At 37.9% G+C, this 19,301-nt stretch overlaps 1 long non-coding RNA gene across 2 annotated transcripts in view, besides 1 other annotated feature; it reads right to left on the bottom strand.

Annotated features, from left to right (window-relative positions):
- Nucleotides 1–2,053: 2,053 nt before the first annotated feature.
- The window catches only part of LOC105377732 (uncharacterized), a 139,446-nt gene continuing 122,198 nt past the window's right edge, over nt 2,054–19,301 (bottom strand). For both annotated transcript variants that reach the window (XR_001743001.1, XR_007059057.1), the window contains 2 exons: nt 18,897–19,090; nt 2,054–3,090 (listed from right to left, as the gene is read on the bottom strand). This is a non-coding gene — a long non-coding RNA (uncharacterized LOC105377732). The remainder of the gene's footprint in view (nt 3,091–18,896; nt 19,091–19,301) is intronic.
- Nucleotides 8,263–9,014: an enhancer, noted in NCBI's record as "OCT4-NANOG hESC enhancer chr5:172944476-172945227 (GRCh37/hg19 assembly coordinates)". NCBI's record gives its function as "activates a minimal SCP1, AML or CMV promoter by ChIP-STARR-seq in naive and primed H9 embryonic stem cells {active_cell/tissue: H9 hESC(naive and primed)}" and the evidence as "EXISTENCE:reporter gene assay evidence [ECO:0000049][PMID:30033119]".

The following is a 19,301-nucleotide window of genomic DNA, read 5'->3' as shown; positions in this document are numbered from 1 at the left end:
TTTCATAAGGTTGAAATACGTAACCTTATGATGTTACACTCTCAGAAGAAACAGACTTTACCAGGGTTGGAGGATTTGCCTCCAAAATCGCTCACTTATGACTGACAAATCAGTGCTGGTGTTGACTGGGAAGTTTCTGTTTCTTGCCACGTGGATCTCTCCACGGGACTGCTAGAATGTTCTCACAACATGGTGGCTGGCTTCCACAGCATGAGTGATTCAAAAGTGCAAGGCAGAAGAGCTTATATCTTTTATGACCTAACCTCGGAAGTCACACACCATCACTTCCATATTCTATTGGCCCCACAGACCAGCTCAGATTGGGCATGGGAAGAAATTATAGAAGAGCATGAATGCCAGGAAATAAGGACCTTTGGAGGCCATCTTGCAAGCCGGCTTCTACAATAGGTGAGAGATGATGGTGACTAGACCATTTAGACCAGACTGGTGAAGATGGTGAAAAGGTGTCGTATTTGGCATATATTTTGAAAGTATAGCTGACAGGATTTAGACTTAGATTATAAGTGAGTTGGGGAAAAAAAACAGGGAATTAAGGATGACTCCAAGGTTTTTGGTCTGAGCAGCTAGAGGGATGAAGTTGTATTTACTAAAATGGCAACAAGCATGGGAAAAGGATTCAGGAAAAATCAGGAACTCAGTTTTGGTGTTAAGGAGACACATCAGGCAGGCAGTTGGACATAGAAACCATTAGTACAGGAGAGAGGCTATGAATAGTACTGAAGCTATGAGCTTGAGAAAACCAGGTCCCGAGTATACTTAGAAAAGGAGAAGAGGCTAGGCTTTAAGTCATGGGACATTCTTCCGGAGACTAAAAGAGTCACCCAATGGTGGAGGCAGAACTTCAGAAGAGGAGACCAAGAGGGAAAGTGTTTCTGGGGGAGTGGTCAGCTGGGGAAAGTGCTGCTTGCAGCCTAACAGACAAGGACTGAGCATTGATGGATGGAGTTAGCAACATTGAGGCCAAGGGCGAAATGGACAAAGTGATTTTGGTGGTGTAATGAGGTGCAAAAGCCTGATTGGAGGGGCTAAAAGGGAATATGAGAAGCGAAAGTAGATATTAGGAGTGTATTAGTCCATTTTCACACTGTTATAAAGAGCTTCCCTGAGACTGGGTAATTTATAAAGAAAAGAGGGTTAATTGACAAACAATTCCACATGGCTGGGGAGGCCTCAGCAAACTTAGAATCATGCCGGAAGGTGAAGGAGAAGCAAGCACTTTCTTCACAAGGTGACAGGAGAGAGAAGAGCTCAGGGGAAACAGTCCTTTATAAAACCATCAGATCTCGGGAGACTTACTCACTATCATGAGGATAGCAAGGAGAAAACCGCCCCCATGCTCCAATCACCTCCCACTACACCTGGAGATTACAATTTGGATTACAATTCAAGATGAGATTTGGGTGGGGACACAGAGCCAAATCATATCAGGGAGTTTTGAGTTTTGTTTTATAGAGGATCAGAGATATAGGACAGAAGCTAAGTGGGGATCAGAGGCCAAATGCAATTTGCTTTAAGATGGGAGAGGAGCAACATGTTTAGATACCGATGTGATGTATGTTCACTGTTTCCATTTAAAGTTATTTAGCTCATTGCCTTGACTACTCCAGAACATATGTTTAGTCCTTTTTCCTTGCTTTATCAACTCTAAATAATATCTCTTAACCCTAATATAAAAGATGAACATGTGTCTCAATTCTACTACCCTTTTGCTGTCCCTCTCTGCCTCCCAAAGTTTGATTGTGTGTGTGTGTGTGTGTGTGTGTGTATTTTATCAATGGAGCACTTTTACAACTTTAAATAACTGACTTAAACCTCTTTTTCTTGTCTCATCTCTTCTCATTTACATCTCAACTACCCACTTTGTAAGTTGAGGCTGTTAATAGTCTTCTCTTTCCCCAGGCTTTGCTTTTGCACTTCCCATTCCAACTTCAATTCGCTCTACAACATTTACCTTAACATGATTATATTAATATTATTCGTGTTGGCCAAAGTAGTGTACTAAAATTAAATTGTCTTCTCTAGAAGTCATTCATCCACTTATTGACTTATTTATTTATTTATTCAACAGTTACTCACTGAGTGCTGCCACCTGCCAGGCACTGTTCTAGCCACTAGAGATACAGCATAATGAAGAAGACAGCTGATATCTTTGCCCTGTAGAGCTGACACTCTAGTAGGGAGGCAGACAGCAAACACATGAACACACATAACTTGAGGTGGGGATAAGTACCACAAAGGAAAATAAAGCAAGGTAGGAATTTAGACAGTAACAGACGAGGAGAATTTCAGATTGAGTGGTCAGAGTTTCTGAGCAGAGACTCACTCTGGAGTGTGAAGGAAAAAGTCATCCACTGGCTGTTGATTTAAGTACCTTACATCGCAACCCTTGAGATGCCAGAAGGAAATAGCCACAAACACCATGGTCAAATGGATTTTCTTTTCATGTTTACCTTATTTTTTTCTGTACAATTGAACCATGACATAGCATTTTAGATATTCCTATCTTCCTCCAACCCAGAATCATGACATCTCTTAACAAAAAGTGTTGCAAAGATAAGTTCCCAATGGCAGAACATCAAAAAAATTAAATGCCAAGAAGTTTCATTGCCACTCACTAAATTTCATAGGTAAATATTTAAATGGTAATAATAATATCTGATCTTTATCAAAATTTTTTTTCTGTTATGGCCAAAAACTAAAGGTGGGGGACCCCTGTCCCTCTTAACACACTCAAGAAACAGGAAAATGTCTCCATTTGAAAAAAAAGTTCAGGATGTTCCATCCCTCTAAAAGACTCTTACTTTGACAAGTTTAATATAGTCCTGGTTGTCTGTGATAACATTGGGGTAAAGTAGCGCACTCAGTGAGAGCAGACAGGCCTTGATGAATGAAGACCTCCAGAAGCCCTGGGTAATGGAATCAGTGTGCAGCAGTGAGGTGGAACTGCTGGGTTTCTCATAGATTGATTGGGTCTGCAGACTACCATGATGAGAAAGACTCCAGGTCTTCTGAAACGGTTTCCACTTCCAAAGAACTTTTCAAGCTTTTTCTAGTTAGCTCCAAGCCTATCTGAAAAGAAGATGAGGTAAACTGAAGCACGCAATGCCACTGAATCAATCTAGTATTCTGTATACAAGATTGTCTCCACTACCACCATTGTGCAGTGCTTAAGATGAGAAACGGACATTCTGGAGGTCCCCCCGTCCTAGGCGGAAGAACCTGGTGCCTGAGTACTCACTGATTAGGATAGAAGTTTCATGCAATGGAGCAGACAGCAGAGTAGTGAGGGGGACAGGGGATGATTTCTCTCTTACACACCAAGTTTATTGAAGAGCCAATGGTCTTTAAAAACAGAACGCACCTGTAAATTCTCACTTCCACAGTTCAGTAATGATAGAAAAATGTTTCAAGGATTTTATCATAATGATTTTTGTTTGGGCAGTAAGATTTAGCAGGCGTCAGAGAAAAAGTTTTCACTTTTAATTTTATTAACTTCCACTTATTTCAAGGTTTTTACAGTGGTTCTGTAGTCCTTATGTCATTTAAAAACTTTTAAAACTAGTTTAGTTTGTATTATTAAAGTAAATTCTAAGATCAGAAATCTGTCTCCTTCTCAGGATAAAACTTCATTAGAACATTCATTGGCCTGGAACTATATCTCCCTCAGGGCCCCATGCAATCATTGTACTTTGGAAATGCTTTTAAAATGCTAAAATGATTAAAACAAGTAGTTAAAGTAAAAGGCCTGATGTGTCCTCTTTTCTCACTTTTGAAGTATTTATGAACATTGTGAACTCACTCTGACCATCAGGGGCTTTACAACTCAACATAACCCAAGAGTTGAACAGTAATCCAGATAGAATAGGAATCCAAAGAATAAAATATGCATGAATAGACTTTTACTCCTGGCCATGAGGCGGGGAAGGGGACCAGATTAACCTTCTTGCCTGGAACAACTACAAAACTGGACAAAATATATGAAACAATGGCTTTTAAGACATTGCACACTGTCTCAGTCTTTTTCTGCTACTATAATAAAATGCCTTAGACTGGGTAATTTATGAATATTAGAAATTTATTTCTCACAGTTCTGGAGGCTGGGAAGTCCAATATCCCTTAGGTGCCAGCAGATCTGGTGTCTGCTGAAGGCTCACTCTCTGCTTCATAGATGGTGCCTCTTACTGCGTTCTCACATGGAAGAGGGCAAAAAGGACCCAAAAGACTTCCTCAAGCCCTTTTATAAGGGAATTCATCCCATTCATAAGAGTTCTTATGACCTAATCATCTCCTAAAAACTCCACCGCTTAATACTATTGCACTGAGGATTAAGTTTCAACATGAATTTTGGAGGAGCACAAACATTCAAATCATAGAAGACACCGCGCAATAAATGACAGTGACCCCTGCAAGACTGAAAACACAGGGGTCTAGCTCTATATTTCCTCACCCTATTGCCTCGAGAGCATTTCCAGGATATGACATAGTTGTGGGGAGAACAAGGCAGAGCCTAGAGGACTCCCTGAGTTGAGGAGATAAAGCCAAGAGCCTATGGAGATGAAGGCAGCTAGAGTTTGCAGGGCACAATACAACACAGGAGAAAACTGCCCAGAGAAAACTCCAGGGATCTGTAGAAGGTCTCTTTAAGTATTTAGCAGAATATTAATCAGGGTATGTGTGTGAAGAAACTACACAAGTCTGGGGAAAGAACCATTCAAAAAATTAGTGGGAACAATGCCTATTATAATTAGACACACTGGAAAATCTCATATTTCATGGGGCATTGGTTACAGCACTAGGAAGGATTTTACCTAAGTGGTGAAGTATTAGTCCTAGACAAAATGCTTCTCTAGTCTAACCTAAAAAAAAATTAAAGCAAGACCTTAAAGGATCAAACTGTGTCCAGATAACTTCATCTCAAAGTAAAGTTCAAAAATACATATAGAATATAAAAATATCTATCAACCAAGGTGGTAAAATTCATGTCTGATATCTGATCACAAATTATCAGGCATGGAAAGGAGCAGAAAAACATGGCACTTAAGGAGTAGAAAAATCAATTTAAACTGACTCAGAAATGACACAGATGCTAGAAATATTAGATAAGAACATGTCACCGGACGCGGTGGCTCACACCTGTAATCCCAGCACTTTGGCAGGCTGAGGTGGGTGGATCATGAGGTCAGGAGATCGAGACCATCCTGGCTAACAAGGTGAAACCCCATCTCTACTAAAAATACAAAAATTAGCCAGGCATGGTGGCAGGCACCTGTAGTCCCAGCTACTCAGGAGGCTGAGGCAGGAGAATGGCATGAACCCGGGAGGCAGAGCTTGCAGTGAGCCGAGATTGCACCACTGAACTCCAGCCTGGGCAACAGAGTGAGACTCCATCTCAAAAAAAAAAAAAGGACATGTCAATGGTTATTATAATTGTGTTCCATGTATTCAAATACTATAAGTAACATTAAATATGTTAAGTAGAGACACAGAAAACATAAAAAAGACACAAACATCAAGAGATGAAAACTACAACGTCTGAAATAAAAAATATACTGAATAGAATTAATGGCAGTTTAGACACTGCAAAAAAGAAAGTTAGTGAACTTGAAGATACAACAATAGAAATTATGCAAAATGAAACACAGAAGTAAAAATATTTTTAAAAATCAGAGAGGATTTTCTACTTGAACAACTTAAAGTAGCCTATGTGTCATTTGAATTCTAATAGAGGAGGATGAGGACAGAAAACAATATGAGAAAATAATGGTTAAAAATTTTCCAAATTTGATTAAAACTGAAACTCACAAATCTAAGAAACACAACAAACCCCAAGCACAAGAAATATGAAGAAAACTTTAAGGTGCTTCATATGTAGATTTTCTTTTTTATTATGGTGAGTTACATTTATTTTATTTATATATAATATTGGATTCAATTTGTTAATATTTCATTGAGCATTATTTCATCTATATTCATGAGAGCTATTAGTCTCTAGTTTTCTTTATTGTAATGTCTCTGGTTTTGTATCAGGGTAAATCTGGCTTCATATTATGATGCTCAAAAAAGTTATGCTGAGTGAAAAAAACTACAAAAATAGGGTATATACTGTATTATTTCATTCATATAAAACTCTAGAAAGTGCAAACTAATGTATGGTGACAGAAAGCAGATGAGTAGTTCCCTGGTGATGGGGGAGAGGAAGGTGTGGAGAGGTCGGGAGGGGTGTGAGGGTGGAATTCCAAAGGGCATAAGGAAATTTTTAGTAGAAGCATGCATGTTCATTATCTTGATCATGGTGATAGTTTCACAGGTGTATACATGTGCCAAAGCTTATCAAAGTATACATTTCATATATACATAGTTTATTATGCACTGATTATACTTCAACAAAACTGTTCAAATATGCAAGTTGGTTTTTTATTCTAATACATTTTTTCTTGAATCATCAAAAGCATTTTAGCTCTTGAAATGTAACTTTATACAATTACCCACACAAGAAAAAGGGATGTAAACTCTGTACGACACATATACACATGTATGCAAAACACCCTCGTCCACAATTATTTGATTTTGAGATATGTTATGGTAATAACTGTCAACTCTTTGACTAGGTGTATCCCTTTTTAATGCCAAAACATTTGAAGACTTCACTCAGGATGATTATTTTTATGTTACTTTGAATTATTTGAGAAATACATAATAACAATAAGCTTATAGGACTTTAATAGCACTTATAGATAAATATGTATTTTCCTAATCTCAAAGCATAACATATATTTGTAAGATGAGAGTACATCTATTTTTTTCTAGTCTTTTCTCTCACATTGATCCTTCTCTCTGTCTAGGCACTAAGACTACAAGCATTCTCTCCAGCCAGGTAGTGTTGACCAGCAATGAAGAAATTAATTCTTAGTTTATGCGTTTCAAAGGAGATTCAGACCCTTCCAGTAAAAGGGCCACAGAAAGGACTCAGAACACAAATTCAGAAATTGCATAATGATGGAAAAGCCCAGCACAGCAAGGTTTCCAATTATAGAACGAGGCAGCATGCCTGGATTGGGGTTAAGGACTCAGAAAGAGACATTGGATGAAGCTAGGTGTGAAAGAAGAGGCTCTTCGCCCTGCCCACCACCCAGGGTGAGTCCAGAAACAAGGTTGAGAAAACTGTTTGACGAGTGGGTTTCATGATCTGAGAGCTCAGGGTACCTGTGCCCCCTTCCCTATTGAAGAGCCCAGCAGCTGGCAGGACCCTAAGGCAGCCCTTGCCAGCATGGAGCTGGAGCTGAAGAGGTATCTGAGTGTGTAGATCTAGGTAGAGGAGTTCAAGATCATATCATGCAGTTTCTCACAGCCCAGAGGGACGAAGGAGTGTTATCTAACTCCTAGGTCCCCAAGAGGGGCATGGAAATATTCCACATTGCTGGCATGTGGGAACAGGCTGTGTGGGATAAACCAAGAGACTGCATGATGACTGCATGAACTGACAGCCAAGGAGCGGGTAGGGATGACCTTGTCTCTGAGGCTGCTGCATGGTACAGGAGCGCCGAGGGCTGTTCTCCTCTTGACGCCAGGGCACAACCTCAGCTCCTCAGAATGAGATGCGACCCTGGGAGAGCCAGAGGGAGACCCCAAAATGACTAAGATTGTTTCTAATCCTAATAAAATAGAATAGGAACATCTTTAAAAGAGATCAAGTCATTATAGGAAAACAGCCACATGTCTTTCCCAACTGATTCTGTGGGTTGAGAAATAGAAAAATGCTACCCTTAAGTGTTGACGTGGGTTATTTAGAAATAATCTGTGCACGTATGGAATTACAAACTTCTTAAAATAATGCCAGCTCTATCCTGTAAGTTGGGAAGAGTTACATCCTAATTTGGGTGAAGACACAGCACAGCAGTTGCTGAAATACATGACAGAGCTATGTATACATGAGAGACCCAAAGACCAGTAGAACGGAATAGAGAGTCCGGAAATAGACCTATGCAAATACGGCCAATTGATTTGTAAGAAAGATGCAAAGGGAATTTATTAAAGAAAAGATCATCTTTTTAAACAAATGTTACTAAAACAATTGAACATTCACGTGTCAAAAAAAGAAAATAAGAAATTTGACTCCTACTTCACACCTGTTCAAAAGTTAAAATAAATCATAGACCTAAATGCAAAACCTAAAACAATAAAACTTCAAGAAGATATTCTAGGAAAAAATCTTTGGGATCTTGGATTGGGCAGAGTCCTTAAATTTGACACCAAAAGCACAATCCATGCAGAAAAAAATAATACATTGGACTTCCTCACATTTAAAAACTTTTGCTCTTCCAAGTCAGACACTCTCTCTCTACAGAGAGAGTGATAGTGGTGGTTCCACATTTCTCTCTCTCTCTCTCTCCCTATTGGTTCTCTTTCTCTGGGAAACCTTGACTCAAATGTGTTTCAGCTGGCAAATAAACAAACTATGGTACATCCAATAATGGAATACTACTCAATGGTATAACAACAAAACAATGGACTACTGCCACACACAACATGGATGAATCTACCATGCATTATGCTAAGTGAAAGAAGCCAGACTCGAAGGTTACACACAGTGTGATTCCACTTATATGACATTCTTGAGAAGGCAAAGCTATAGAGATGCAAAACAGATTAGTGGCTGCTGGCAGGGGGGAGGGTTAATACAAAGGTAGTTATTTGTGGATGACGGGATAGTTCTGTATTTTGATGGCGGTGGTGATGGTTACACATCTCTATGCACTTGTCAAAAGTAATAAAACACCAAAAAAGTGAATTTTACTGTATATTAAAATAAGATAAAATGGAGTGTGAGCCTTGGACTAATACAAGGGGGCAGGAACCTAGAACAAAGGTACTCTCCCTGTCACAAGGACGCTTCATATCTCCCCCACCTCACCAATCCCAGAATCGTTCTGCCTCAAGCAGCACTGCCCAGCAGAAATATAATGCAAGCTCCATATTTAATTTTAAGCTTTATATTGGTTAAATTAGAAGGTATAAAGAAACAAGCAAAAATAATTTTATATTTTTGTTTAACTCAATATTCCAGAATATTATAATTTTAGCATGTACTCAATATGAAGAAATTAGTGAGATAGTCCTGGTTTTTGGGCAAATTCCTTGCAAGCAGTCTGAGGCCATCACCAGAAGCAGATGCTGGCGCCACGCTTCTTGTACAGCCTACAGAACCCCAAATAAGCCCCTTTTCTTTATAAATTTCCCAGCCTCCGGTATTACATGATAGCAACACAAAACTGACTACTACACTGAGGGATGAAGAGAGTTACAGAAAGAAAGAAAAGAAAAGAAAAGAAAGAAAGAAAGAAAGAAAGAAAGAAAGAAAGAAAGAAAGAAAGAAAGAAAGAAAGAAAGAAAGAAAAGAAAGAAAGAAAGAAGAAAGAAGAAAGAAAGAAAGAGAAAGAAAGAAAGAAAAAGAAAGAAGGAAAGAAAGAAAGAAAGGGAGAAAGAAAGAAAGAGAGAGAGAGAGAAAGAAAGAGAGAAAGAAAAGGAGATTGTTGGTTTCGGATGCTAGATCAACCTATACCTGAAGTAAGCCCTACCTCTGGACTGATCAGTAATATGAACCAATAAGGTCCTTTTATTGTTCTAGTCAGTTTAAATTTTCTATAAATTATTACTGAAATATTCACAACAGATGCATTGCCCAAGAAAGACTTTCCTGCTACCATCTTCACAAGTAACTCTCTAATCAGTCTTCGATAATATGGGACAATGTAGGCAATCAGAGTCAGGGGTTCAGCTTCCAGTCTAATGCTGCCACTTATCTCAAGCTGCACAATAACTGTAACAACAGTAACTACAAGAGACTCTTTTTTTTTTTTTTTTTTTTTTTGAGACGGAGTCTCGCTCTGTCGCCCAGGCTGGAGTGTGGTGGTGCAATCTCGGCTCACTGCAAGCTCCGCCTCCCGGGTTCACGCTATTCTCCTGCCTCAGCCTTCCGAATAGCTGGGACTACAAGTGCCTGCCACCACGCCCAGCTAATTTTTTTGTATTTTTAGTAGAGACAGGGTTTCGTGGTGTTAACCAGGATGGTCTCGATCTCCTGACCTCATGATCCACCCGCCTCAGCCTCCCAAAGTGCTGGGATTACAGGCGTGAGCCACTGCGCCTGGCAAGAGACTCTTCATTAACTGTAAGGTGCTCTACATATAACATTTTAATCTACAACAAGGAAAACAGAGACTTGTTTCTTATTTTACAGAGGAAAAATGAGGCTCATGGCGGTAAACATAACTTGGACAAATTCTCAGTTAATAAGCTAGTTACTTTTCTTCATAGCACAGATGTGATCATATTTATTTCTTTGTTTAGCTGTTTATTGTTGATCCCCTGCGCTAAAATGAAAGCATCAGGAGAGCAGACCCTTTGTCTTTTTCAAGCCTGGATCCTGGGTGCCTAGAACAGTTGCTGGCACAGAGGAAGCCCTTAATAAAGACTGGTTGAGTATTAAATGAACAAGATTCAAACCTAGGTTTGCCTCCAAAACCATCTCTTTTCACAGCTCCAGGTTGTCCCTCATTATCCTCTTGTAAAATAAATGGTGGACCCTTTCACATGCTTAAAAACAAGTGTTGTTTGTTTATGTGTTGCTTTTCATGTGCTGCTGTGGAATGAGCCTCCTCTAAGCTAGTGGAATGTCTTGAGTAACTTTTTGGTCTTTCTTCATAGGACCTATCATGTAAGCCCTTCATTAGTCATCCTGGGTCTACTCAAGGCATTTAATGATACATTTTGTCAGTACCATGAGTAAACAAACATTTAATCAAAACCATCTTGGTGGCAGAGACAGAGCTAGATTCTTTACAGGACCTTAATCACCTCATGCAGTCCTTACCGTGCCTCTGAAACACAGGAAGCAGCACCTCTGTTTGGCAAATCAGACTTCAGGTCCAGAAGATGACATGCTTTTAAGGTGGCAAACAGAGTAAGGATTATCTGACTCCAAAGATTTTACATCTTTCTTTAAAAGTCACATGTTATAATTATTCTAATTAAGATTGTGAAACTTAGAATTGGATTTGGGGTTTTCTATGTCAAAAAGGAAAAATGGACATTTGGTCATGATCATTTCAATATACACATTTGAGCACCTACTACAGTGCTAGGTGCCATGCTAGGCACTGGGGACACTGTAGAACAAAACAGGCCTCACCTCTTCTCTCTTGGTTCTTGTAAAATGGCTGGTACCTGTTCAGTGCAGTGTCAGAGCTAATGCTCTCAAATTTTGGTGTTGGGTCTATTTGAACACTCGGTGCATTAGTTAAAGTAGGCTAATATGCAGCAGTAAATAGACCTCGTATTAGTCACGGTGGGCTAACTGCATTAGAAATAACCTTAAATATCAGAAGCTAAAACTAATAAAAACTGATTTATCTTTATGAAAAGCCTGATGTTGTATTCCTAAGTGGCTCTTCTCCAAGCACTAATCCAGGGACACAGACTCCCTTCACATTGTGTCTCTGCCATCTTGTGGCTTCAGACTTGCCCTGGTACCAACTGGCTAGAGAATAAATGGCTTTACATAGGAGACTTTTATGGCATAGGCTTTGAAGTATCATCTGTCTTTTTTCCCACGACCTATTTGCCCGAACTGAGTCACCTGACCAGCTTAACTGCAAGGGAGGCTGGGAAATGTAGAGGAGCTCATAGTATTTAGTGCATACCAAGAGTCTCTTTCATAGACTCCAAAAAGTCTATGGAATTTTTAAAAAGAATTTCAAAACTTCCAAATTTCTAAATGTAAGCCTTTCTGGGTAGCAGGGATTCAGGTCAGCAACAACTCTACTCCATACAGTCATTCTGGGAGCCAGGCTAGTGGCAGTTCTGCCATATTAAAAAGTTCTCACAAGAGGTTTTAAGGTCCAGACCTGAAGTTGCACTCATCACCTCCCCTCACATTCTATTGGTTAGAACTCATGCACATGACCATATCTTACTGCAAAGGAAGCTAAGAAATGTAGTTTATATCCCAAGCACAAGGAAAGAAGGATGGATTTTTCTAGATAGCTAGAAGATGATAGTTCACCTGGATTTTTTTAACTAGACCTGCCAAATACCAGTTACTGTGCATGTCTCTCACTGATATCCTTTTCTTTTCCTTTTTTTTTTTTTTTTAGACAGAGTCTCACTCTGTTGCTCAGGCTGGAGTGCAGTGACATGATCTCGGCTCACTGCAACTTCTGCCTCCTGGGTTCAAGCAATTCTCCTGCCTCAGCTTCCTGAGTAGCTGGGATTACAGGTGCATGCCACCACGCCCGGCTAATTTTTGTATTTTTAGTAGAGATGGGGGTTCACTATGTTGGCCAGACTGGTCTCGAACTCTTGACTTCAGGTGATCCACCCACCTCAGCCTCCCAAAGTGCTAGGATTACAGGCATGAGCCACCACGCCCAGCCCTGATATCCTTTTCTAACCTTCTTTTTCTGTGACTTCGCATGTGTATATCTAGCTATGTCTCCAACCTGACATACCATATGGTTTCCTAATTCTGGCCTCTAAATAGAAGTCCTTTATCTTAACAAGGAAGTAATCTGAGAAATTATTGAATGTGCTTTCCACAGCAAATGCCATGTTCTTTTGAAATTCATTCATCCAGTGATAACTCACTTAGACTTTATTTTTCTCCACTAGAGGAGGGCAAGGCCCTGTCTGTTTTGCTCAGCACTCTATTCCCAGTGCTTAGCACAGTATTCCTGATACATCACAAGTAACCCAATAAATATTTTCTAAATGACTGTATAAATTTTTCTTTTATCTCAGAATCTTAAAAAGGTCATATTTGATATTGGGGTAAAAAAATATTCCCTGTTGATTTGTTATATATGATGACACCTCCCAGAACCCTGGGAGGGCATCCCTGACCACAAAGCTCAGCTCTTCCTAACTCATTCACTCAGATCCCACTTGTTTTTTTAACCATAGCAAACTCTGAAGAAACCACATACATTGAAAGGTCTTTAATTTTTTTTTCTTTTTAGGGATTGCTGATCTATGTGGAAACTGGAACAAAAGAAATGTCAGAGTCTGCCTGATCCTCACTTTACAATTTTTGTCATCATTGGCTATCAATGTGGAATCCACCATGGCTGAGAAATGTGTAGCTGTGAAATGAGCCCGTAACTGAGCTGAAAAGATTTGTTTGACTTCCAGCTAAGCCACTTAACAGATGTGTGGTTTCTATAAATCAGTCAAGGCTCTGAGTTTCGGCTTCCTCTTCAGGAAGCAGAAAACAGCACCTTCCCTGTCAATATCACAGGATTGCTGTAAAAATGCCTTTTGTTTATTTAATAGATATTTATTGGTGGCTAACTATATGCCAGATATTGACCTAGGTTCTGGAGATACATCAGTGAATAAAACAAAGTTTATGTGACTCAGAGCTTATGCTGAAGGGCAACAGTGTAAATAAATCAATCAATGAGCATGTAATATACCAGGGGTTGATAGGGTTTTGGGGGAAAATCACACAGAGCAAAACAGACGAGAGCCACGGAGGAAAGGAGCTTTGATATTTTATATAAGATGGTTCAGACTGGGACATTAGAACAGACACCTGAAGGAAGTGAGTGAGTGTGTCATGCAAAGATATGAAGGAGGAGGAGGCACAGCATGGTCAAGGGCCCTGAGGTGACAGTATGCTTGGTGTTTATGAGGAATCGCAAGGAGAGCAGTTGGCTTAAGCAGGGTGAATGGGGGATGGGCAGATGCTAAGATCAGAAAGGTAGCACAAAGCTAGATCAATCAGGGCTCCATAGGCCATTGTAGAGACTTCAGCCTTTACTTTGATTGAGATAGAAAGCCATTTCTGTGTTGAGCATAGAAGTGATGCCTTGTGCCATATGTCCTTTAAAGAACATTTCAGCAGCTGTGTGGAAAAAAGGCTGCACGGAAGCTAGACTGGAGGCAAAGTTGCCAGTTAGGAAGCCACTGCAATACAGCAGGTGAGAGATGGCAGTGGCTAGGCTCAAGCCAACAGCAAAGGAAGTGGTGGAAAGTGGTCATATTACGAATATATTCTGAAGATAGCATAAACAAGTCTTCCTGATGGATTGGATGTTGCTGTAAGAGTAAAAAAGAGTAATCAAAAATGACCTTAAAGTTTTGGCCTGATGAGTGGGAAAACGGAGTTGCTCCTTCTTGAGATGGGGAAGACTTCAGGAAGAACACAGAAGCTCTCACTATGCTAAGACCTCTGTTTTTGAAACATTAGTTTGAGATGCCTGTGGACGTAGGCTTCCCAAAATGGCGCTGTATGGTGGTGGCTATATGTATCTGAAATTCTGGGAAGAGGTCCAGGGTGGAGCCATCACCTTGGGAGTTGGCAGCCTATTTAAATCCTTAAGAAGGGGTGAGATCACTTAAAGAGTGAGTGAAGAAGAAATAATTGTGAGGACTGAGAGGAAACTTCAATATTTAGAAGTCCAGGAAAAGAGAGAGGCACAGCAAAAAAGAAAAAAAAAACAAACTAAGGTAAGAAGAAGCCAATGAGGCAGGAAAAGGAACGAGATAGAGGAGAGTGAAGAAAGTGGGACCGGAAGGAGGGACTGACTCATTTCCATTTATGATGCAGTAGTTTGGCCAAATAGCATGATGGTAGATACACACCCAAATATATCAGTAATCGCATTAAATGTAAATCGATTAAATAGTTCAATTAAACATCTATAATTATCAAACTAGATTAAAAAACAAAATCTAACTATATGCTGTTTACTAGAGATACACCTCAAATATAAGGATATAAAGTAATTAAAAATTAAGAGATGATATAAGATTTACCATGCAAACAATATCCAAAAGAAAGCTGGTATAGGTATACTGGTAGCAAAATAGACTTAAGGCAAAAAGCCTGATTAAGATCAAAAGTTTCAAGTTTCATAACAATAAAAGCGTTAATCCCCCAAGAAATTCTCAATTTATATGTATGTAAAAAACACAACTTCAAAATATAAAAAACAAAAGTTGACAGAATTATAAGAAAGTCTAGGCAAATCCACACTCATAATAATGAGAGACTTTAACAAACTTTTCTCAATAAAATATATAACAAGAAAGAAAAAAATCAGTAAGAATATGTAAGATCTAAACAACACAATTAACAAATTTGATATATTGACATGTACAGAACACTGTGTCCAAAAAAGTATACTGTTTTTTCAAGTGTACATGGAACGTTTATGCTGGCCATAAACGAAGTTTCAACAAACTTCAAAGGATTGAAATCATACAAAATATGTTCTCTGACCATGGAAGAATTAAGTTGGAAATCAATAACAAAATAAGTAGGAATTCTTCAAATACTTGGAAATTAAGCAATATATTTTTAAATGGGTCAAAGAAAAAATTTCAGTGGAAACTGGAAAATATCATTAACTAAATGATAATGAAAATATGACATATCAAAATATGGAGGATGTGGTTAAACCTCTGCTTAGAGAGAAATTATAGCCTTAAATACATAAATTTAAAAGAAAAAATATGTAAATCAGTAAGCTAGTTATCTATGTCAAAAAAAAGAATAGAAAATTATGTCTAAGGAAACCAGAAAAAAGAAAAAAAACTAGTAGCACAAATTAATAAAATACAAAACAGACATTCAAGATAGAAAATCAATATGTCCAAAAGTTGGCACTCATAAAAGTAAAATAAATGTTAGCTTTCTGGGAAGTCTTATAACAAAGTAATAGCAAAGTAATAGAGGAGACAAAAATTACCAGTTTTGATGAAAAAGAAAACATCATTCCATATCCTGCACATGTTAAAAATATAGTTACAACTTACTATTAACAATTGAATGTTAATAAATTAAAAATTTTAGATAAAATGGAAAATCCTTAGAAAAACAAAATTAACAAAAGCTGATGTAAGAAGAAATAGAAAATCTGAAATAGTCCTATTTCTATTAGAGATATTAAAGCTGAAGATAACAAAGAAATCTCTAGACATAGATGGCTTTCCTCCAAATAAATTACAAATGAATTTCTCCAAATATTTATGGAAGAAATCACACCAAACTTATATAAACATTTGCGTAGACTAGAAAAAATATTTTCTATTTTGTTTAATTAGGCCATTGTAATCTTGACATCAAAAACTGACCTTGACATAAAGCAAAATTATGGGCCAATCAGTCCTATGAACAGAGATGCAAAAATACCAAACTAGCAAATTGGATTTAGTAAAATATAAAAATAATAATGAAGAATGAGAAAGTTGCATTTGTTCCCAGAATGAAAGGTTGGCTTCATATTTTAAAATTACTATAATTTACATTAACAGAATAAAAAGAAAATCATCTGACCATCTCAGTAGACACAGAAATAGCTTTTGATAAAATTCAACACACGTTTATGATTTTAAAAAACTTGAAATCCCCTCTGCAGACAGGAACAAAAGGGAACCTCTTTAGTCCCATAAAGAGTGTTTAAGAAAAAAAAAAAGCCCTACAGAAAGTATTATACTTAACGGCAAATATTGAAAGCTTTCTGCCTGAGAATGAGAATGAGCAAGAATGCCTGTTTTCACCACTTCTATTAAATATTGAACCACAGTTTCTAGCCAGTGCAAAAATAAAAGGAAAGAGGGGATAAAAAGATATAAAATTTGGGGAAAAAATCATTATTTGCAAAAAAAAATTACTTTGTTCACAGTAAATACAAAAGGACCTAAAGAAAAACTATTATCATTAATAAGTGAATTTTGGAAGGTCATTGGATAAGAAGGTCAATTGTATGTAAAACTCAATCGTATTTCCATATAAATGCAAAAAACTGACAAACTTTAAAAGAATATTGTTTATATTAGCATAAAACAAACATTAGTGAAATAAATGGAGATCTAAATAAATCAAGGAACATACCATATTCATGGATTAGAAGACTCAATACTGTAAAGATATCAATTTAACTCAAAGTTAAATATAGATTCAATGCAATTCAAACCAACATCCTGAAAGGTTTTTTTTGTGGAACTTAATGAGTCAACTATTAAATTCATACTGAAATAGGACATAAATGCCAAAGCAATTCTGAAGAGAAAGAACAAAGCTGGGAGTCTTCAACCATCAAATAACAAGACCTATTGCAAACGCGGTATGTTAATAGCTAAAGGATATAAAAATAGATCCATGAAATACAATACTGAGGTCAAAAAAAAGACCCATACTATGCAGTCACCTGATTTATGACAAAGGTGCCACTGAAGTACAGTGGAGGAGGGAGAGAACAACGGTCTGACTTAATAATCATATTGAGTCAATTAGATATCCATATGGAAAAAATAAATTTTGACCCCTGATTCACACCACACAATTCCAGATGCAGATCTAACTGCAAAAAGTATAATTATAAACCTTCTAGAAGAAAATATAGGAGAAGATCTTTACAACCGAAGATTTCTTAGACACCTGCACACACACACACACACACACACACACACACACACAAGCATTAACCATTTAAGAAATAATTGATAAACTGGAACTATTAAAATTAAAAACTCACATTTATATAAACAGCATTCAGAGACTGAAAAGACAAATCAAAGTAAGAAGAGATATATGTGTCATATATATGTCAATATATATTATTGTCTTGCAGGAAATTTTATATATTCTATATTTGAGTCCTTCAGCTAATACACACATATGCAATATATAAGAAAATGAAAACGACCCAACAGAAAAATGAACAAAAGACGTGAATTAAGCACTTCTCAAAAGAAGATATCTTAATAGCCAATATAAAAAGGTGCTCAACCTCATTAGCCATCAGAGAATGCAAATTAAAACCACAGTGAAAATATCAACTCCAATGCTCACTCATCAAAATGGCTGTAATTTTTAAAATCTCCATAATACTATTCACTGAAGTAGGTATATCACCAGACAACCACTTTGGAAAATTAGTGATATCAACTAAAGTTGAATATATACATATACATATACTCTATGACACAGAAATTCCACTCCAAGATATGTGTGTGTGTCTGTGTGTGTATATGATATATATACATATGATATATATACACATATACATATATGAGATACATACACATGATATATATACATGTGTGTATATGATATATATATATCATATACACACACAGACACACACACATATATCCTCAAAAGCCATATACAAAAATATTCCTAACAGCACTATTCATAATAGCTAACAACTATTGGCATAATGTTATATTTGCATTGAAAACATATAGGAATAAATCTAACAAGTAATGTGTAGGACCTCTACACATACAAACATTAATGAGAAAAATTAATAAAGACTTAAATCAATGGAAGAACACATCTAGAAATAAATTTAATGATACCCATCAAAAATAGAATGGAAAAATAAATTGTGTTATATTCAAACATTTGAATAATATACAGCAATGAGAACGTATAACGTATAACCTCACACAACATCCCGGATGAATTTCACAAACTAAGGTTGAGCAAAAGAAGTTAAACACAGAAGTACACATATTGTATGATTCTATTAAAGTTCAAAACCAGACAGAACCAATTTTTGGGGGTAAATCCGAGAGAATAGTGGGGAGGGTAATGCCTGGGTAGGGGACATGGGGCCTCAGACACTGCAACAGTCTCTCCTTTGATCTGCGTACTAGGTACCTGGGTGAACTCAGTTTGTGAAAATTCACGGAAGCATGTCCTTATAGTTTGTATGTTTTGTATATTTAGGCTCTAATATCAAAAAGATTTACTAAAAAATAAAAGGGGGGCAGATTAGCTCTGTCACTTAGGACAAGTGTCACTTAGGACCTCAGTGTCCTGAGGCCTTTGGCTTTCGAACATAAGCAACTATTTATGTACTCACCCATGTATTCCATTTCCAGCAAATATTCACTAGGCACCTACAGCAGTGAGCAAATCCATGACACCACTAGCCTTGTGGAGCTGATATTTCAGTGGAAGGAGATTGACAGTAGACCAGGATAGATAGTTCATATGTTCCCTCGCTCTCTGACTTCTGGAGGCCTTGGCCAAGGGAGGATTGGCAGGAGTCCAGAGCTGGGGATGGAGAAGATTAGTATATTCATTCCCCCAGCTCCCTCCCTGTGGGGTGGCCACAGGCTGACCATGTCCCCTTACGGAGGCCCCGGCTTCCACCTGGCCATCCCTCCACCCAGCCTCCCTCTCTGGGTACTGATAACTGTCCCCTCCACTTGCCCCTTCAAGCTCGGGGCGGTGTCAGCTCCCAGCTGAGGCCAGGATCCTATAG

Source organism: Homo sapiens, chromosome 5, assembly GCF_000001405.40.
Source record: "Homo sapiens chromosome 5, GRCh38.p14 Primary Assembly".
Classification (NCBI taxonomy): domain Eukaryota; kingdom Metazoa; phylum Chordata; class Mammalia; order Primates; family Hominidae; genus Homo; species Homo sapiens.
Note: the sequence above shows the minus strand (reverse complement) of the source record. Positions and strands in the feature narration are given on the sequence as shown.